General features: G+C 36.8%; 1 protein-coding gene across 13 annotated transcripts in view, besides 1 other annotated feature; it reads left to right on the plus strand.

Moving 5' to 3' along the window:
• FUT8 (fucosyltransferase 8) overlaps positions 1-22,662 on the plus strand; it is a 387,280-nt gene that overhangs the window by 226,526 nt on the left and 138,092 nt on the right. The gene's annotated exons all lie outside the window — the stretch shown is intronic.
• Positions 11,060-11,594: an enhancer, noted in NCBI's record as "H3K27ac-H3K4me1 hESC enhancer chr14:66061145-66061679 (GRCh37/hg19 assembly coordinates)". NCBI's record gives its function as "activates a minimal SCP1, AML or CMV promoter by ChIP-STARR-seq in primed H9 embryonic stem cells {active_cell/tissue: H9 hESC(primed)}" and the evidence as "EXISTENCE:reporter gene assay evidence [ECO:0000049][PMID:30033119]".

Genomic DNA, 22,662 nt, shown 5'->3' on the forward strand with positions numbered 1-22,662 from the left:
TTGACTTTTTGTTGTTGTTGTCCAGCCATAGAATTCTTGTCAATATTATATAGTAGTTTCCTCTGAAATTTTGCATTTTCATGTCATTGTGAAAGGTATTAGAGATAATATTTTTTGTAGGTCAGGCCACAATCACAGTTATCACTGTGATAAAATAAAAAAATGTACACTGCCATTCATAACCAACAGGAAGATCTGGTAAAACTCTGATAAGTACCTTATGGGCTCTAGGCAACATAAGCGACATTTAATTTATTTAGATTGCTGAAAATAATAAGCAAAAAAAAAAAAGAATGCTGAGTCAAATGCAATTAATTTAGCATCTATAGTAACTTGGTTTTAGTGATTTTAATGATTAATTAGAAAGTGCATAGAAGCTGTGAAGCTGTTTGCTCTTCCCAACCCTATATTTTGATATTAAGGATCTCATCTTTGTTGTGTAGAATAGGCAAATATTTAGGAAGACAGCAATTTATTTCCATTAAAATATCCGAATTAGCCAGCTAAGAGTCTTTGTTTACTTTTTTTGTGAGATGGAGTCTCGCTCATTCACCCAGGCTGAAGTGCATGGGTATAATCTCAGCTCACTGCGAGCTCTGCCTCTCCGGTTCACACCATTCTCCTGCCTCAGCTTCCCGAGTAGCTGGGACTACAGGCGCGTGCTACCACGCCTGGCTAATTTTTTGTATTTTTAGTAGAGATGGGGTTTCAACAGCTAGGAAGGTCTCAATCTCCTGACCTTGTGATCCGCCCGCCTCTACCTCCACCTCCCAAAGTGCTGAGATTACAGGTGGGAGCCACCACGCCCAGCCTTTTTTTTTTTTTTTTGAGACAGAGTTTCACTCTTGTCGCCCAAGCTGGAGTGCAGTGGTGCGATCTTGGCTCACTGCAAACTCCGCCTCCCAGATTCAAGCGATTCTCCTGCCTCAGACCCCTGAGTAGCTGGGATTATAGGCGGCCACCACCACACCTAGCTAATTTTTTGTATTTTTAGTAGAGACGGGGTTTCGCCATGTTGGCCAGGCTGGTCTCGAACTCCTGACCTCAGGTCATCTGCCCGCCTCGGCCTCCCAAAGGGCTGGGATTACAAGCATGAGCCTCCGCGCCCAGTCTGTTTACTTCTTAACATCAAACTTTGAAACTCCTTATTTAAAAGATTAAAGAAAGTGAATTACTGTCTATCACTGTTGCTGTTTGCTTATTAGGGATATAAAAAATGGGATAAAGATAGAAATATAATAGATCAGGTGGTAACAGAAGGAAGTAGAGAAATTCAAGAGATTGAAGACATGTAGATTCAGAGTCAAGTTCTAATATTTTAATGCATCTTCTGTGTTAGGATCTAAGTACTTTCACATATATTACTTGTAATTTAATATCAAGTGAAAATTAGTTTGTTTTGCCTTAGGTTCTTCTTTGTCATCTTTCAGTACTTAACTCCTTAGTTTGTGTATGTTTGTATTTGGCATCCAGTTTGTAAGACTTCATCCATTCACGTAGTCCTTCATTCAGGCTTTGTAGTCAGACAGATCTAATTTATATTCTATATTGGCTGTGACAATTTCTTAAAATAAGACAATAGTACGTATTGCATTTTGGAAATATATATAACCTATAATTATTTTAACAGATATTCCTAATTGTTTATACATTTCTTGATTAAACTAATTTATTTAAACAGATCTGTTTCATTTGCCTCCCAACTCAACTGTTAGGATGTTTGCTCCTGCACGCTTTCATGGGTTTGCATTTGCCCCCTCCCCATTTTATAATTCTCTAACCTACAGAATGATTGATTTCTATATTATTTATTTATTTTAATTTTTAAATTAAGTTTTCTTTAAAGGCAGGGTTTCACTCTGCTGTCCAGGCTGGAATGCAGTGGCATGGACATGGCTCACTGCAGCCTCCTGGGCTCAAGTGCTCCTCCCACCTCAGCCTCCCAAGCAGCTGGAGGACAGGCATTGAGCCACCATGGCTGGCTAATTTTTAAATTTTTTGTACAGGCAGGATCTTGCCATGTTGCTCAGGCTGGTCTCAAAGTGCTAGTCTCAAGCAGTCCTCCCAACGTGGCCTCCCAGAGTTTTGGGATTACAGGTGTGAGTCACTGCACCCAGCTGGAATGATTGATTTGAAATGATAGCCAGTGTAAAGTTCTGTCTATATAAATAATATGAAATGACAGGAAGTAACATAAACATGTACTTCTAAAAGTATGGATATTTTAAGCTGTTTGTTCTTTTGATGCAACTATGATTACTTGTGTTTTAAAATATACTTTTAGACAAGGAATAAAAAAAGTAAATATAAATGCTTTTTCATAAATTGTTAAACAACAGTGAAGATTGGAAATTGGTGGGCATGTCTAATTAGCGTAGTTTCCTTCGGAAATATTGGCGTTTGATTTCCTCAAAGCTGACACAACTCAGCATGTGGAAGTCAGGCTGCCTTGCCCCAGAAGGAAACTTGCTGCATGGTGCCTTGTAACATAATTACTGAAACAGTAAGCAAAGTAGTAGAAATAGCAAGGGATGGAAACAGTTCCTAAAAATTAAATATTGAGACTGAAGAAAGACTTGACATAATCAGAGAGAATATGGACAAGCAAGAGATTAAAACATAGAGAAGGAAATAGATATGGATAACCAGTAAAGATCTAGCATTAAAATAATTGCATAGAGAATAGAAAATATGGAAGAGAAAAATTATTCAAAATAATAAAGACACTTTCCCTGAAAAGGAGAAACACATCCTCAGGTCAAAATGATATTTTGGGTCCTGTGAATTTTGATTGCTTGACATATCTAGGTTAAATGATAAAACCGATATTTCTCCAGGTATCCAGAAAGAAGAATATATCATTTCAAAGAGGGGGAAATCAGGCTCTTGCTAAATTTCTTCCTAGGAACAGTCAGTGCTGGAGATGAATGTAGCAATCTTTTTACATTTCTGAAATAAAGAAAATGTGATCTAGGAATGCAGTTCTTAGCTAAGACACCAGCCAAGTATAGATTCAATAGGCAGGCATTCCCAAATACCCTCAGTCTCTCTTGAAAAATATATCATTTAATTAGGGTATTGAGCCATTTAAAAGATAAATTGATAAAATTGGCAGTAACATCATTTAATATGAAATGCTAGACATTTATGTAAGTTATGATTTTGGAATCTAATGTATTTGATATAAAGTTTAACCGTGAAGAATAGCATGCCAACAAAATTTGGAGTTGGAAGTATTTTCATGTTTCTGTTAATAACATCTAAAATTTAAAATATAAAGACATTAGTCCAGTATATTAATGTTTTTGACAGTTTTTTAACCTTAGATCTTTTTAAAAATATCCATTTGAAATTGAGGAACTCATGCATTTTCACTGAATTTGTGCTTCTATCAAATAAAAGTAAAATTAAATGTACTATATTTTAAAAGGACAAATAATTTCCTCTAATTTTGTAAAAGCTTTTTAACCTATTTTGACATATTTGAGGGGTTTTCCCCCCTACACGTTTTCATCTCTGTAATTCTTTTAAAGAGTATGTGCTGGGCGCTGTGGCTCACGCCTGTAATCCCAGCACTTTGGGAGGCCGAGGCGGGTGGATCACGAGGTCAGGAGATCGAGACCATCCTGGCTAACACGGTGAAACCCCATCTCTATTAAAAATACAAAAAAGTCAGCCGGGCATGGTGGCAGATGCCTGTAGTCCCAGCTACTCGGGATGCTGAGGCAGGGGAATGGTGTGAACCCGGGAGGCGGAGCTTGCAATGAGCTGAAATCGTGCCACTGCACTCCAGCCTGGGCGACAGAGCGAGACTCTGTCTCAAAAAAAAAAAAAACAAAAAAAACTAATTTTTACAAAAATAGGAAATATTTGTATATTTAGGAAAACGTTATTCACTGCAAAAGAATTTTTATGTATTCAGGAAATAGTTATGATCCTCACAGATGAGAAAAAGTGAAGTTCAGAAATGATATGACTTAAGTCAAATATTTAGTTAATTTTATAAGCAGGCCAATAGTCCAAGTCTTTTGAATCTTTGGTAACTGATCTGTTACTGCGTTACACAAGTGATAATATTTAGGAATTAATATATTTCTAGAGCAGTGCCATATGTAGCCACAGTGTGTCACAAAGAGAACAAATAGTATGTGTGTGTATAGGCTGAAAAATTTTACCAAGACAAACGTCTGTATAGTACCTGTGCTATTAATATTTTATGAATAAAATTATATTGTCTAGGTAACTTTTAGGCATAAAGATGGCAACACAGTGGATCTGTGAGATTCAGGACACTGAATCTAAAAGTCCACTTGGACTATTAAAATATTGCTAAATATGAATATTTCTGGGGCTTAGAGTTGCACAATTACTTTGAATGTATGCATGCCTGATTTTATAAAGGCAAATGCATCCATGTATTAGTTGTGTGGTTGGTAGTCAGTCTGAATTAATGACAAATGTGAATTCTGTAACATTTGATGATAAATACAGCTTTATTGCTTTCAGGTTCATGTAAACCAAAGTAAATCTTTACTGTTTCCAAGTTGACAGCCCACTGAATCTGATATAATTAATAGATGATGGTAATTGGTAAATAGTGCCATCCATTTTTACTGATAATTAATGTATTCACTTGTGTTCTGAAGAAATTTGTTTTTAAAACACTGCCACCAACCTTTACCCCAGCAAATATTTACAGAATTTACTTTTAAAACAAACATTATTTTAGAGTTTAAGAAAACTGACACTACCTACTGTTCTAGCTTAATTTTCCACTACTCCTCCTTCCACCTTAACCTCCCTTTTCATCTTCATTTCCTGTTCTCCCCTGTACCCTATGCTCTAGCCATATAAAATAAGTTCATTTTTACTGAATGTGGCATGCTCTTTCACACTTCTTTTCCTTTGCACATGCTCTTCCTTCTGTTTGAAATGTCTTTTCCTTCATCCCCCAACAGACTTTTCCTTGACATGGTTCACTATGGCTATCCTTTTAAAGTTCTTAATTATACCAGGCATTATTTATCTCTTCTTGCTATGGTCTAAACTCTCATACCAAATTATCGCTGTTATTACATGTGCTGCAATTTGTAATTTGTGTCTGACTTTTCCACAAATTATGAATCTGACATTTCCAGATTGTAAAATATTTGAGGATAGTGGCTGTGTTTGTTTCATGTTTGTGTGCTTAAGTACTTGGCATGTAACAAGTACTTGGCAATTTTTTAAAAATGAGTTGTGACTCTTAGTCCTGCAGAGATCATATTACTGTGGTCCCCTTTATCCATGGTTTTGCTTTCTGCAGTTTCAGTATACACAGTCAACTGTGGTCTGAAAATAAGATATTTTGAGAGAGAGAGAATGCAAGAGAAAGACCACATTCACCTAACATTTATTACATTATCTTGTTATAATTGTTCTATTTTATTATTATTCTTGTTAATCTCTTAGCTGTGCCTAATTTATAAAGTAAACGTTATAATAAGTATATATGTCTAGGAGAAAACAGTGTATATAGGATTTAGTACTATCTGCAATTCAGGCATCCACTAGGGGTCTTGGAACAGTATCCCCACAAATAAGAGGGAACTACTATGTCACATTTTCCTTTTCTTTCTCAGCCCCTTTATTTCGCTCCTTTTTCTTGTCGCTCTCAATCTCTTTTACTTTCCTCCTCTTTCCCCTACTCCCTCCTTTTCAACTTTGTTCTTTTCTTCAGTGTTACACAAAAGACAGACATTTTTAGAAGTGTTTGCCAGGAAAAGAGTGTTATAAAATCCACCAATGGGTACTGCTTCTTTGTTTTTACATGTAATCTAGGTAGATTTATTTATGATGAAATATTTAGAAAAGGAATCCTGATTTCAGTAGAAACTTCTCTTTTAAATGTCAAAATCTACAATAGCATTATTTAATGAAACTCACATAGAAGAAATAAAGGATCATGGGCCTATGTAAACTTGAAAATAAGAACTTGGCATAGAGACTTAGAATTCTATAGAGAACACCATGGCACTTCCCAGACCTTTGCTTTGATATTCACCCTTTGCTTGTCAAGGGCCTTGCCTTAAATCTTTTTTTTTTTTTTTTTTTTGAGATGGAATCTCGCTCTGTCGCCCAGGCTGGAGTGCAGTGGCGCAATTTCAGCTAACTGCAAGCTCTGCCTCCCGGGTTCACACCATTCTCCTGCCTCAGCCTCCCGAGTAGCTGGGACTACAGGCGCCCGCCACCACGCCTGGCTAACTTTTTTGTATTTTTAGTAGAGACGGGGTTTCACCGTGTTAGCCAGGATGGTCTCGATCTCCTGACCTCGTGATCTGCCCGCCTCGGCCTCCCAAAGTGCTGGGATTACAGGCCTGAGCCACCATGCCCAGCTTGTCTTAAATGTTTTGACTCAGACTGGTTCAACTTCACTCACTCAGTTTAAAGACCTCTCTTCTCATTTCTTTCTCTTCACAGTAATAAACTTACTTTAATTAAATTTTTGACACAACAAGAGATTTTCATTTTTTAAAAGATGATGCATAGACATGGTAAACCATCCAAAGAGTACAAAAGGGGTATACATTGGCATGATATTTCTGCCACAAACCCAACCCCTCAGTTTCTCTTTCTAGAGGTAACATCTTCTATTAGTTTCTTCTGCTTCCTTTCAAAGATATCCTCCCTATCTTAGGGGAAAGAAACAGAAAGATACGACATACCAATGGGTAACACCATCTGTTGGAGTAATTTCCTAGCATTTTTTTTGTTGAGAGCTCTGATTACTTGATTTTGTCCTTATAAGTTAACATTTTTTTTCTTCATAACCTTGCACAAAATAAGAATCATTTGATGACCATGAGTTCATGGCAGAAAATTGAGTATTTTAATAACCGTTTGAAACAGGAAAAGCATTGATTGGTTCTCAGTCTTTGGAATTAGAAACTTTGCAATGAGTATGTTTTCACCCAGCATATCCAGTTCATTTATCACATGGTATAAAAAGAAACTCACATGGAAGGGGATGAGTTTATGCTGAAATCCAAACATCTTGACTTAACCTGCAGAATTGTTTTTATGTCTTTGCATCATGGAGTCAAAGAATAGGTACCATTGGAAAAATCCCTTAAGATGTCTCTCTGTTTCTCCTCTTGACCAAACTGGGGGGGAATAATAATAATGAAAAAGGTTTAATTGCCTAGATGGGAGCCTGGTAGAACCCAATGTGTCATTCATCTGTTACCTAAATGTGGATTAGTATCTGGAATACATTAGGTAAGAATCACAATATAGGGTAATTCTCACCTCCATAGAAAATAAAGGGTTCTAAAACACTACCACATAACTTAAGGGTTCAGTAACTCAGAGAAATCCTGCATAAACGATTGTTTTTCTAGTCTCCTGGTATTTGTTGGAAATAGGTTTCATACTTCAAGGTGATACATGTCTAAGGGCAAAGGATAGTAGTATTCTTTCACCTTCTGGCACTCCATCTCCCTGGATAAAATTCTCCATGGGGAAAATAGGTGGTGGTATTTCTGTACTTTGGGAATTTTAGACATTTGTCATTTCATTGTTGGGGAAAAACAACATTTCTGGTTTTGACTTGGCAAAATGTTATGGCCTTCAGTTTGTGTTCTTTTACCTATAGTTTATTTGAAAAATACACATACACACATAAAACATACATTTTTCTACAGTAATGGAAGAAAACAGAAACTACTTTGTCGACATTTTGGAAACAAAGCCTAGAAGTATTTGTGCAAAAGGTTAATTCCTCCTTCACACAAAGAATAGTGTGAATACATTTAAGTTATTTAAATGAATGTGAAGTTAGTTTAAAATTTTTCCATTTTAATATGGAGAAACTCGGATTTACTTTTGGAGTTGGTATTAATGGTCTATATGGGTTTCTCTTGGCCTATCACTTGTCATTGTTTTCAATAAAAGGCAAAAAGCAGTTGTTCAGGTTTAGACTGAAGTATTTAAGAACATGAAAGGGGCATGAGATTCTACTTCTGAAAGCTTATGATACATTATATCTTTGAAATTCAACTCCCTTGTTCTGACAAGTATGTTACACATCAGCCAGGCAGCAAGATAATATACAAGAAAAATCCAAGTCTTTCTTTGAAAGGATTAACCTTCAGTTGGTAACTTACCTCCCTGGGGTTTTGTGTAGCTTAATTAGCATTGGCAAAGCAGCTTGATACTGTTGGATGAAAGGCAGGTAAGTTATTAGAGGTAAGATAGAGTTATGATTGTGATTTTGCAAACAGATAATCATTTTTTTCATTGGTGACATGAGGGGAAGCTGAGGAGGATCTTTATCTTGGGTCTTAATCTCAGGTAGTATAGTTTGAAGCTAGAATGCTTTATGAAGGAGCTCCATGTTTAATATCTCAGCTGAAAATTAGTTGTTGCCTTTCTCTTAAAGTATTGTGGCATGTAAACCAAGAGAAATGTGCACTATTGAAGCATTGAAGCAGGCTTTTTTTTTTTTTTTGGTGTATGTCATATATAATCTAGTAACAGCATACTTTACTTATGTGATTAACACCACAGGCAAGTCACATACTGTAACAATTTGCATGAGTTGGTTGTAACTAAAAAACATGTAAACTCTATTGCAAGATACTTAAAAAAAACTGGGAATAAACAAAAGGACATTGCTTCTAGATCTCACCTAGTTCTTCAGAAAGTTTCTTATTAACTGAGGGATTAATTATGAAGATTTTTCTGCGACTTTGCATATGCAGCTGTATATACAATTGTTTTTTTGTCAGCTTCATTTTTAAAACAGGCACTAAATCCCTTTGGATATATATGAGAGCTTTCACTTTGGTTTTGTGTTATAATTGTTCCTCTGGTGTAAAGTAGTTCATGAAAAAATGGTTGAGTGCGACTTGAAATAAAGTATATTTAAATTCTAGACAAAAGAATGACTAGATTTGAGTGGTGGGGGAGAACTGACCTATTATCTATTTTTTTTCCTTCATTCAAGCATAAGTGGCTTCCTATAGAGGAATTAATTGTGTTCTCTCAGAGAATACCTAAGTGGTGAGGTCTGCTTGCTAGCTAGCTAGCTACCTACGTACCTACCTACCTTCCTATCTATCTGTATTAGATAGATAGATATATTAAAGGAGCTGTTCAAACTTCAGCCTTTGGTGGAAGGCAAAAGAAGACTCTACCAGAGGACCTGATACTAAGCTTACATTTAAGGGATTTTATTCTTTTGAGTAAATAGCCTAGTTCTGTCTAATGATACTAAAAGATATTTCATTCTGAGTAGGACAGTTTATCTTCTAGAACATCCTTAGAAGTTTTCATGCATATTCAATCTCCTTTTCCCCTTTAAATAATCCCTATTGATCTGCAGTCTGTTGAGTTATTGAAACTTTATTTGAACCTGAATGTGTTGTCAGCATTGGGAACAATGCATCTCATGTATTTCTGTCTTTTGTGGAAGATACTCCTCTCTTCTACTTGTTGGGAAACTAGTATCTTGAGTCATTCTTTAATGCATCTTTCATTCAATAGACATTTCTTGGACACTCACTATATGTCAGCATCTGGGCTGGACCAAGGCATGTTCTATACATGGTATTGGTATGGTTTTGGTAATCTGGTAATTTCTTTTGCATTTTCTTCACATCCTCTGAGATCATGTAATGTATCCAGTTTAATTTCTTTCTATAATACTAGTCTTTAGGCAATTGGTCAGTCCTTCTAGGCTCTAATGATGTTTATAATCCCCAACATAATTCTATAGGATTTCCAGTGTAATCCTAGATTATTGATTTTACCTTATTTTCTGAATTATTTCCTTGAATCACTGTAAAACATAATCACTTGCACCTCACTCCTTTTTTGAATCTTTATGTGTCAATACTTGTATGCCTTTTACTTAAAGTGATAAAGAGTAGTTTAATAGTTGTAATAAAGAATAATATAACTTAAATGAATATTAAAGTTAAGAGGGGAATCTACTGCATTCATTTTGAAATAGGAAAAATTGCAATAGCAATCAAACCAGATTTTCTTTTGTTCTTGAAATGTTCAAAATTTGTCATGAACATTATAGATTCTGTGTTTCATAGTGTATAGATACAGATTAATATTGTCTGTAGAATACCCATGTAAGGGAATGTGATATTAATACAGAAATTAAAATAGCCGTAAAATGATGAGCTTCTCTAAGGTGCGCTCTTCTTTTTTCTTTTCTTTTCTTTTTTTTTTTGAGACAGAGTTTTGTTCTTTTTGCCCAGGCTGGAGTGCAATGGCACTATCTCGGCTCACCACAACCTCTGCCTCCTGGGTTCAAGAGATTCTCCTGCCTCAGCCTTCCCGAGTAGCTGGGATTACAGGCATGCGCCTCCACACCCAGCTAATTTTGTATTTTTAATAGAGATGGGGTTTCTCCATGTTGGTCAAGCTGGTCTTGAACTCCCAACCTCAGGTGATCCACCTGCCTTGGCCTCCCAAAGTGCTGGGATTACAGGCATGCACCACCACACCTGGCTAATTTTGTATTTTTAGTAGAGATGGGATTTTGCCCTGTTGGTCAGGCTGGTCTCAAACTCCTGACCTCAGGTGATCTGCCCACCTTGGCCTCCCAAAGTGCTGGGATTACAGGCATGAGCCACTGCTCCCGGCCTAAGATGTGCTTTCTAACAAATTTCACAGTGCCAGATTTGACTTTTAGTAAATCTGCATTAAAACTAGTCAGAAAATAATTAGTGAAAAACTGATGCAGGATATTTTCTTGACCCCTTTGTGGGGTGTATGACAGGGGTGCCTCGTTTACTCAGCCTGCCCCGCTTAACCCCTTGTGGGAGGGAGAGAGTGTGCAAACGAGTACAGGAACCCAACTGCAGGAACTGGCCAGGGGCCCGGCAGTTTACTTGGGTAAACTTACTATTTACTTTGGTCTGCCTGGCTCCACCCCTCGCAGGAGGGAGCATGCAAGTGAGTGAGTGCAGGGACTGCCAGCTGCTTCAGCGATGACAGGAGTAAACTCCCTTCAGGCCCTGTGGCAGCATCCAGGTAGGGGTTTCTACGACCCCAAGGCCCCAGGGGGTATGTTGCAATGCTGTCTTAGCTCCATTGTCTGCAGACATCAGTGTGTTATCAGCTCAGTGTGTCCTTTGCCTCATTGCATTGGGTGGCTGCCCTCTGCCAGTGAGGGCAGAGGGCCAGTATGACAGACTTTTTGGGTACCGGCATGTGGTACATCCCAAATTCTTGTCTGGTGCCCAAGAGAAATGAGGTCATGCAGATGAACTGAAGGATGGTGAATATAGAGAATTTTATTGAGTCGTGAAAGCAGTTCTCAGTGGAGAGGGGAGCGAGAAAGGGAGCGGGAAGGGCAGGTTGCTCTCCCCTGAAGTCAAGCCACCTCTCTGCCTCTCTCTTCTGAAGTCAAGTTGCCTCATCCAGCCGGTGTCTCTGAAGTTAAGTCCTCTCTCTTTGATATCCAGCCACTTCTCTCCTCTGCCGGCTGAGTCTGGGGTCTTTATAGGCACAGAATGGGGGTTGGGACGGGCCATAGGTAGTTTTGGAAAAGGCAGCATTCGATTGGTAAAAAGATATTATTGAGAAACAACCAATTGGGAGAGAGCGGGCACACAGGGATGGAAGTTTTCACTTTGGGCCACCGATTTCAGACTTTTCCACTCGAAGTTGGGATTTTGCCAGTGACTTGCCCCTGTCTGCCTAGAGTGTCTCTGCCTCCTCTGCCTCCTGTTGCTGTCAAAACCACTTTCAAATGTGTATTCTTAAAGTTTCATCTTATGCATTAGAATATTTAATCTTTGATAATGGCATTTATCTGGCACCTTATATTTACTGTATTTATTAATTATTGATTCCTGAGTCTCCTGAAAGTGTCTGGATATGGTTAATATGAGAGGATGTAATAATCAGAATGCCGTTAACTAGCATAATTTCAAAAATATTTTCTTGAACCCTGTTGTGTCTATTTGACTATTTTAATATGAACTAAAAATGTTAGCATTTCTTATTTGAGGTGAAATTATAAAGAAAATTTGTTTCCAGGGTTTACTTCATCCTCCTTAAAAGTAAAGTATTTTGTTTCCTCACTCTCATGTTATATACCTCAGTCTGGATTAGAACTAAAACCACTTACTTGATTTTGAGAAGAAAGTTCACTTCGAATTAAGTAGAATTGACATATATTCCTTATATTCTTTATCAAATAACTTGACGATTTATCTTCTACACCATTCTCTTTTTTTTTTTTTTTTTTTTTTTTGAGACGGAGTCTCTCTCTGTCACCCAGGCTGGAGTGCAGTGGTGGGATCTCGGCTCACTGCAAGCTCCGCCTCCCGGGTTCATGCTGTTCTCCTGCCTCAGCCTCCAGAGTAGCTGGTATTACAGGCACCCGCCACCACCCCTGGCTAATTTTTTTGTATTTTTAGTAGAGACGGGGTTTCACCGTGTTAGCCAGGATGGTCTCAATCTCCTGACCTTGTGATCTGCCCACCTCAGCTTCCCAAAGTGCTGGGATTACAGGCGTGAGCCACCACGCGCGGCCCACACCATCCTCTTATATTATTTCTAGCCTAAAACATTCTGCTGTGGCTGATAAACAGTTACTATGACTACCTTTGTTTTTGAAAGTATCAGGATAAATAGTATCACCTGGGCTAGGAAATATAAATTTATCTAATAACAGTAGAAATGAAGTTTGTAGAATGACCTGACAAACTGGTAATCTGGATTCTAAAACCTTTGGCAGTAGAATTGAAGATTAATTTTTGTCCTCTTCAGGCTCTGTGGGGTTTTTTTACCCTTTTGGAATGATTATTTTAACTGGGTTAGAGAAAGTATACACAGAGATGAACACATGCACATACATATGCAAAATGAAAAGTTGTAATTTTGATGTGTTTTGATTTTAAATATAGATTTGCTATAATAAAAACTACATCTTTTTATTTGGATGTGAGTGTGTATAGTTTGAAGATTAAACATACTTATTAATCATTGCTTTGACAGCAGCAATATTCACTTAGAACTCTTGATATTATCATATAATTTTATAGTATTCTTTCCAAAATTGTTAATTCATTTATAGCAGTTATCCAAACCATTGTTCTGTAGGAGGACTGTCTTCCTTTCTTACATGATCAGCTATTTTAATGTTACTGAAGTTTTTAAGAGCCATCTTTCTTTCATTCTTCAGGTTTTTGAAGGAGATGATGGTATGGATTTGCAGAATAGTTAGGGGAGTTACTTATTTTTTAGATAATTTTCAACCAATACCTTTAGGGTAGCATAAGAAGAAACCAAATATACAAATATCCAACCTCAAGAATATCAACTACAGAATTCTTTGATGATATAACACTTTTTTTTTTAAATGAAATCATAGTTTAAAATGCATGGTTGTTTTCTCTCATAGGACTTGCTATATTCTAGTCTTTTGAGTTTTCCAAGCATGGTCTATCTAAACACTTACTGTGATATGTAGAATTTTCTTAAATTTTCTCTAGACTGTAGACATCCTAGTTAGCTCAGCAGCATAATTCGTAAGAGGAAGCTGTTATCATATTCCTTATAATCCTTTTAAAATTTGAGGGCTATACCATAAAATTGTTTACCAGTAATCTGTGCTGTTCCACAATAGAACACAATAAATAATTTTGATAGGTAACATTTATTGAGCCCCTACTGTTTTGGAACATTTAGTCCTCAAAATAAGTCTTTATGGTACTATTGTTATTTTCATAGTACAGATAAGGAAACAGAGCTTAGAAAGGTTAAATAACTTGCCCAGAGTCACACAGCTAGGAAAAGTTAAGAGTCACACGGTAAGACTCTTACTAAAGTCTGTCTTCCTGTAAAAACTATAGTTTAAATCTCTATATTATTTTTCTGGATAATGCAGCTAACCAGCATTTTAAAAGGCGCTGATTTGAATGAGCTTTTCAGTGATGGTGGTGGATTAATCTGATTTATCCACACTATCAGGCCGGGTGCGATGGCTCACGCCTGTAATCCCAGCACTTTGGGAGGCCGAGGCGGGTGGATCACGAGGTCAGGAGATCGAGACCATCCTGGCTAGTGAAACCCCGTCTCTACTAAAAATACAAAAAATTAGCCGGGCATGGTGGTGGGCACCTGTAGTCCTAGCTACTCGGGAGGCTGAGGCAGGAGAATGGTGTGAACCCGGGAGGCGGAGTTTGCAGTGAGCCGAGATCGCACCACTGCACTCCAGCCTGGGCGATAGAGCGAGACTCTGTCTAAAAAAAAAAAAAACATAAATAAAAGAAGAAGAATGGTGCATATCACAGAATGGCTTGTCTTGGAGTAAAGTCCATGATAGTGTAACAGAATTTTTTTTTGGAGGCTTGGAAACTCTAAACATCTGTTATACAACATTGAGGACAGTAGCTCTAGTAGCACTGACTAATATGGACAACTAAATCAGTTTAACATTGAGCCAGGTATTTGTGACTCAGGCCATCTCACAGTGAATTTGTTCTTAATATGTTTTAATTTAAGCTGTTGGCCAGGCGTGGTGGCTCATGCCTGTAATCCCAGCACTTTGGGAGGCTGAGGCGAGAGGATTGCTTGAGCGCAGGAGTTGGAAACCAGTCTGGGCTACATAGTGAGACCTTGTCTCTACAGAAAATAAAAAATACAATTAGCTGGGCATGGTGGCGTACACATGTAGTTCCCAGCTACTCTGGAAGCTGAGGTAAGAGGACAGCTTGAGCCCAGGAAGTCAAGGCTACACAGTAAGCTGTATTTGCACCAGCGTGGGCAACGGAAAGAGACCCTGTCTCAAAAATTTTATTATTCTATTATGTAACAGTCATACAGTTTGGCTGTATTTACTAAAAAAAAATTTTTTTTTTCCGAGACGGGAGTCTTGCTCTGTTGCCCGGGCTGGAGTGTAGTGGCGTGATCTCAGCTCACTGCAACCTCTGCCACCCAGGTTCAAGTGATTCTCCTGCCTCAGCCTCCCAAGTAGCTGGGATTACAGATGCACGCCACCACCCCCAGCTAAGTTTTGTGTTTTTAATAGAGACGGGGTTTCGCCATATTGGCCAGGCTGGTCTCGAACTCCTGACCTTGTGATCCACCCGCCTCGGCCTCCCAAAGTGCTAGGATTGCAGGCGTGAGCCACTGCGCCTGGCCACAGTTTTTTTATTCTGTTAAATAATAGTGATGTGGTTTGGCTCTATTTACTATGTATACATCTATTTACTAATTTAGCTTTGAGTGTTTTTTGATAGAGATCTTTTTCTCATTTCTCCAGTTCAACTTCATTTTAATTACTGAATTATGGAGGAAAATAATGTGTTTTCATAGTAGTATAATTACTATTCCAAAGGCTGAAATATTATTGGAAGATATATTTTATTTAGAAGTTAAGTAAAAATTTACAAATACTTTGATGGTTCTTGGAACATATTTTTTTTCCCCTGAGGTCGAGTCTCTGTCTGTTGCCAGGCTGGAGTGCAGTGGCACAATCTTGGCTCAGTGCAACCTCTGTCTCTGGGGTTCAAGCGATTCCCCTGCCTCACCCTCCTCAGTAGCTGGGACTACAGGCATGCACCACCACGCCTGGCTAATTTTTTGTATTTTAGTAAAGATGGGGTTTCACCACGTCAGCCAGGATGGTCTCGATCTCCTGACCTCGTGATCTGCCCACCTTGGCCTCCCAAAGTGCTGGGATTACAGGTGTGAGTCACCACGCCTGGCCCAGAACATTTTTTAATAAGTCTCTGAACATAAAATTTAATTTCTGCCTGAGCCTTGTTTCCTACCTTATAAATGAGAAATAAGCAAACACAGACTCAGTCATCAGCTTTAAAGTAAACAAAAAAAATATTTTCAGAATATGGTATCAGTATCAGGCATATAAATAAGATAATCATTTTTCTGAAAAGAAAGAGGAGAAAACTAAAACTCATTGAGCATTACCATGTTTCCCCCCATCTCCCTATACTTCTAACAGTGGTTCACCTCTTCTTCATCTTTATTGTAAAGCATTTCTTAAAAATTGAAGAAGTGCTTGAAAGGAGGCAAAAGTTCCTTTTTGAAAATTGATTTATTTCTTGGTTTGGTTATGAGTATTTTTAGAAATATTTTAAATTCTTACTCATGCTAGGGAATGGCTGGTACAGGATGATAGGCAAGCTGCTTTAGTTTGGACCTATGTCATATAAAGGCCTTACAGCTCTGTTTCAGGAAGCCCATACTTAGATTCCAGGATACATTCCTGGGCCAGACATCTAGAGATACTCTTTGGTATGCAAGGTTTACAAGTCCGTTTTCAACATTTTGTCCTAAGTGTTCTGCTTCACTTCATAAACTAGTAATTGCAGTGTTATTATCATTTACCCTACCTTTGAACCTTATATTTAAAAGACTTACAGTAGTGTGAATTGGCACATAACCAAGGTCTTTCCATTTCTTAATAAAGCCATTAACTACTTTCTTTATTTGGAAAAAGAGATTTACAATAATCGTTAATTTTATTAGGTCTGCTTAATACATATGCTCTAACAAAAATTCAGTAATCTGCTGTAAATCCAGTGCCATAAGATATTTTCACCAAAGATTCTTGCTCTTTTGAGTACATGAAGAAAATTAAATGTTACTGTTGAGAGAAATGTCATTGTAGTCTAGAAAATTTTTTCAGAAAACCGATAGATTTTAATAGTAGAGTAACTTGATAAACAGGATTAGTATTGTACACTTTAGCCAAGTAAACGTAGAATAATGTGTCTAAATTCCCCACAACAATCCATTTCTTTCTTTAAAGATACTCATCTCTTAATGCAAAACCTGTTTGTAAAAGATGTGTCAATTGGATTTTCCATTTACTTGTATTTCAGTTTACAAATGCTCTATTTTCACTTCACTGATTACTTTAGCTGGTTATATGACAGAGCTTTGTTATTTTGTCCTGCCTTTACCACTTCATACTTCTTTTTCCTCCTAGCTCTAAGTAGTCAGTGATTTGTTTGTGTTACTTCATTTATGCAAAAAATATTAATGAAGCAACTACTATGTGTCGTGAGAATGTGTCATGTGCTAGGTATAGAATAGTGCCCTCACAGATTTGAATGTAGCGGGATAGAGTGACAAATAAGCGCTTACATTAAATAAGTGGTTATAGAAACAACTTACATTTAAATATCAGTAGGGGATGGGTTAAGAGATGATGATGTCTCCATGGGATGAATATTTTGCAGCTGTTAAAATATATAAAACATTTGTAAAAAATATGCATAAGACGATATTTGTAGTAACATGGGTTTCATGGGGACTAGACTTGTTATTATGTATAATCTTGTACCTTAAAAAATTTATTCACATATTTTCAGCTAAACTCTAATAAGATTTAAAGAAAATTTGCAGCATATGGAATGAGCAAATAAGTAAGCAATTACATTTCCATTTAAAAAATCTGGAGATAAAACATTGAATTATTAATCACTCATTGCCCTGATTTGTACATTTTCTCCAAATTGCCTTCTTTTAACACATTTGAAGTGAGCACAGACAACTATTCGTTCTACATTGTTCTGTTGTTGGCTGCTGGATGATGCAACAGTAGTCTAGTATACACTTGTCAAAGTAAATATGGACACGGATTTCCTTGGAGAATTGAGCCAGAAACCTTTTTAATGTTGATATCATAGTATCTTAGAGCTGAATTTAGATACAGATTATCATATGTGATTATTCTGTTAAAACTGAGATTGTCGCTTGTCCCTTTTACCCCTTCTTGGTTTGTGTGTGAGTCTGAAAGTTATAGTAAATTTTGAAAATTATAAATAAATAAATTCACACTTTTGCACATTAGGTAAAATGGATATGTATAGTCATTAGAAGCTGTTTATTTGAATAAAGTGATATTTTCTTTCAATAGTGGAACTGGCTTCTCCATGTATCGAATTTGACAAACTCTTATAAAGCTTGACATTTGAATAAATACAATTATTTGTTGTGCTTTTGCTGGGAATATTTCAGTCCTATGGGTGACCACTTAAAATTCCAACCAAAACAAACAAAACTGCATATCTATAATTTACTGAGTATAACTCTACCTTTCAGCCATATTAGTTTATATTTAGAAGTGGTCCGAATTATGTTAATCTTAGTAGTTTGTTGATATAATGCCACTATTACAGATTTTCTTTATAGATTGTTTAAAAAATTTTTTCTTATTATCATGTGAAACAAAATGATGTTATTTTAGCAGCTGAACTACTATGTAACCATGACTAAAAATTTAGTAGGTGATAGGCAACGGTGTTGGTTAATTTCTTCTGAATAAAAGACATGCTATATAATATTTTTACAGTAATATTCTAATAGTGTATTACTATATGATGCCAGAAGATCAGAATCAAATATCATTAATGATGAGCAACTACTTATTTTTTATCTAATTTTATTAACGCGTTTCTGCTGTTAAAGAGTACTTCAAATATATATGTAAAGCTCAGAAAATAATATAACCCCATGTATTTCACTCAGATTGAACAAGTATTGATATTTTGCCATATTTGCTTCAGATTGCTAGAATAAAATACAGATGTAACCTTTTTTTTATCTTTTGAAGTTTTGATGGTTTTTAAAAAAATTTTTTTTATATCCGTAAGTTTTTGGAGGACAGGTGGTATTCCGTTATATAAGTTCTTCAGTGGTGATTTGTGAGATTTTGATACACTCATCACCCGAGCAGTATACGCTGAACCCAATTTGTAGTGTTTTATCCCTCACCTCCTTCCCACCATTTCCCCCGAGTCCCCAAAGTCCGTCGTATCCTTCCTATGCCTTTGTATCCTCATAGCTTAGCTCCCACTTATGAGTGAGAACATAGGATGTTTGGTTTTCCATTTCTGAGTTACTTCACTTAGGATAATAGTCTCCAGTTCCATCTAGGATGCTGCAAATGCCATTAAATTCATTCATTTTCATGGCCGAGTAGCGTTCCATCTCTCACACACACACACACACACACACACACACACACACACACACACACACACACACACACACAGTTTCTTTATCCACTCATTGATTGATGGGCATTTGGTTCCACATTTTTGCAATTGCGAATTGTGCTGCTATAAACATGCATGTGCAAGTATCTTTTTCGTATAATGACTTCTTTTCCTCTGAGTAAATAACCAGTAGTGGGATTGCTGGATCAAATGGTAGTTCTATTTTTAGTTCTTTAAGGAATCTCCACACTGTTTTCCATAGTGGCTGTACTAGTTTACATTCCCACCAGCATTGTAGAAGTGTTCCTTGATCACCACATCCACGCCAACATCTATTATTTTTTGAGTTTTTGACAATGGCCATTCTTGTGGGAGTAAGGTGGTATCACATTGTGGTTTTGATTTGCATATCCCTGATTATTAGTGATGTTGACCATTTCTTCATATGTCTTTTGGACATTTGTGTATCTTCTTTTGAGAATTGTCTTATTCATGTCCTTAGCCCACTTTTTGATGCGATTGTTTTTTCCTTGCTGTGGATTCTGTATATTAGTCCTTTGTCAGATTCATAGTTTGCAGAGATTTTTTTCCCACTCTGTGGGTTGTGTTTATTCTGCTGACTGTTCCTTTTGCTGTGCAAAAGCTCTTTAGTTTAATTAAGTCCCACCTGTTTGTTTTTGTTACGTTTGCTTTTGAAGTCTTCGCCTAAGCCAATGTCTAGAAGGATTTTTTCCGATGTTATTTTCTAGATTTTTTTATAGTTTCAGGTCTTAGATTTAAGTCCTTGATCCATCTTGAGTTGATTTTTGTGTAAGGTGAGAGATGAGGTTTTATTCTGCTACATGTGGCTTGCCAGTTATCCTGGCATCATTTGTTGCATAGGATGTCCTTTCCCCACTTTATGTTTTTGTTTGCTTTGTCGAAGATCAGTTGGCTGTAAGTATTTGGGTTTTTTTCTGGGTTCTCTATTCTGTTCAGTTGGTCTTTGTGGCTATTTTTATACCACTACCACACTGTTTCGGTGACTTACGGCCGTATAGTATGGTTTGAAATCAGGTAGTGTGATGCCTCCAGATTTGTTCTTTTTGCTCAGTCTTGGCTTTGGCTTTGTGGGCTCTTTTTTGGTTCCATGTGAATTTTAGAATTGTTTTTTTCTAATTCTGTAAAGAATGATGGCGGTATTTTGATGGGGATTGCATTGAATTTGTAGATTTGGCGGTATGGCAATTTTCACAATGACCATAAGCTCATTTTCTAATTGAGCTTCTTTGGATCTTCTCTCTTCTTTTCTTGGTTAATCTTGCTAATGCTCTATCAATTTTATTTATCTTTTCAAAAGAACAAAAATACACTAAAAAAAAATCCAAGGTATACAGGCAACAGATAGGACGATGAATGGAATAGTACCTCACATCTTAATGTTAATATTGAATGTAAGTGGTCTAAGTGCTCCACTTAAAAGGTACAGAATTGCAGAATGGATTCGAATTCACAAACCAAGCATCTGCTGCCTTCACCTAAAACATAAGGATTGACATAAACTTAAGGTACAGGGGTGGAAAAAGACATTTCATGCAAATGGACACCCAAAGCGAGCAGGAGTAGCTATTCTTACATCAGACAAAACAAAAAACAACAGCAACTAAAAAAGACAAAAGGCCTTGTCCAACAAGGCCTTTTACAATCCTAAACATATACAAGGCCTTGTAACAATCCTAAACATATACACACCTAACACTAGCGCTCCCAAATTTATAAAACAATTACTACCAAACCTAAGTAATGAGATAGACAGCAACAAAATAAGTAATAATAATAACTCCACTGACAGCACTAGACAGGTCATCAAGACAGAAAGTCAACAAAGAAACAATGGATTTAAACTCTACCCTGGAACAAATGAACTTAACAGATATTTATAGAACATTCTACCCAGCAACCACAGAGTATACATTCTATTCATCAGCGCATGGAACTTTCTCCAAGGTAGACCATTTGATAGGCCACAAAACAAGTCTCAATAAATTTAAGAAAACTGAAATTATATCAAGTACTCTCTTAGACCACAGTGGGATAAAACTGGAAATCAACTCCAAAGGAACCTTTAAAACCATGCAAATATATGGAAATTAAATAACCTGCTCCTGAATGATCATTGGGTCAACAATGAAATCAAACGGAAACTAAAAAATTCCTCAAACTGAACAATAATAGTGATACAGCCTATCAAAACCTCTGGGATACAGCAAAGGCAGTGCAAAGAGGAAAGTTCTTAGCCTTAAATGCCTACATCAAAAAGTCTGAAAGAGCACAAGTAGACAATCTAAGGTCACACCTCAAGGAACTAGAGAAACAAGAACAAGAACAAACCAGACCCAAACCCAACAGAAGAAAGGAAATGACCAAGATTAGAGCAGAACTAAATGAAATTGAAACAAAAACAATACAAAAGATAAATGAAGTATATATAACTTCTTAATCCCACTTTCCTTCCTCACTTTCCAGAGGAATTTTTATTCTGAGTGTTGTGCATACCTCCTGTCCACATTTTTATTCTTATATTATGTAAATAAGTGTGCATGAAAGCATGTTTTTATATCTTTTTAAAATTTGTAAGAATGTATCATCCTACATATATGTATGTTTTGCAACTTTTTTCACTCAACATTGTGAAATTCATGTAAGATTATTCATGATTGATACTTGTAGGTATACTTTGTTCATTTTAACTGTAGATTAAATTACCATATATGAATAACCACAATTTACTATTTATTCTCTATTAATGGACATCTAGTGTCTCCTTGTGGACATGTGCTAAAATTTCTTTAGGGTAATCTTAGAAGGATACATTCTCAGTCTTATTATATGTGCATTTTCAACTTTGGAGCAATTCAGCAATATTTTCTAAACAAATTATTCTAATATTACGTTCCTACCTTTAATGTATATGGGCTACCTTTAATGTATGTTACGGGCTTAATTGCTTCCCCCACCCATCCAGATTCATATGTTGAAGCCCTAAACCCCAGTCCCTCAGATGTGATTGTATTTGGAGATAGTCCCTTTAAAGAGATGATTAAGTTAAAACCAGGTCATTAAGGTGGACCCTAATCCAATGTGATGGTGTCCTTATAAGAAGGGGTAATTTGGGCAAACAAAAGAGGGGAGGCTTGCAGACAGAGGAAAGACATGTTGAGGATACAGTTGAGAAGAGGCAGACTTCTGCAACCCAATGAGTGAGTCCTCAGAAGAAACCAAACCTGCTGATGCCTTAATCATGGACTTCTAGCCTCCAGAACTGTGATAAAATAAATTTCTGTTGTTTAAGCCACCCATTTTATGGTATTCTGTTATGGCAGCCCTTAAAAACAAATTAATATGTGAGATTTCCAGTTTCTCTGCATCCTTATCTCACTCAGTATCACACTTTTTAATTGTCGCCATTTTAATAGAGGAGAGAGTATCTCTGTTTCAATTTAAATATCCTGGTTACCAAAAATGCTGATCATTTCTCAGGATTACTGATGAATGAAGTCCTCTTCTATGAACTGCTAGTTCATATACTTTGTACATTTTTCTATTACATTGCCTTGCCTTTTTCTTACAGATTTGAAGGAGTTCTTTATAAAATCTATATAATAATCCTACATTAATTATATATTTTCCATTCTCTTCTCTC

This window comes from Homo sapiens, chromosome 14 (assembly GCF_000001405.40).
Source record: "Homo sapiens chromosome 14, GRCh38.p14 Primary Assembly".
Lineage (NCBI taxonomy): Eukaryota > Metazoa > Chordata > Mammalia > Primates > Hominidae > Homo > Homo sapiens.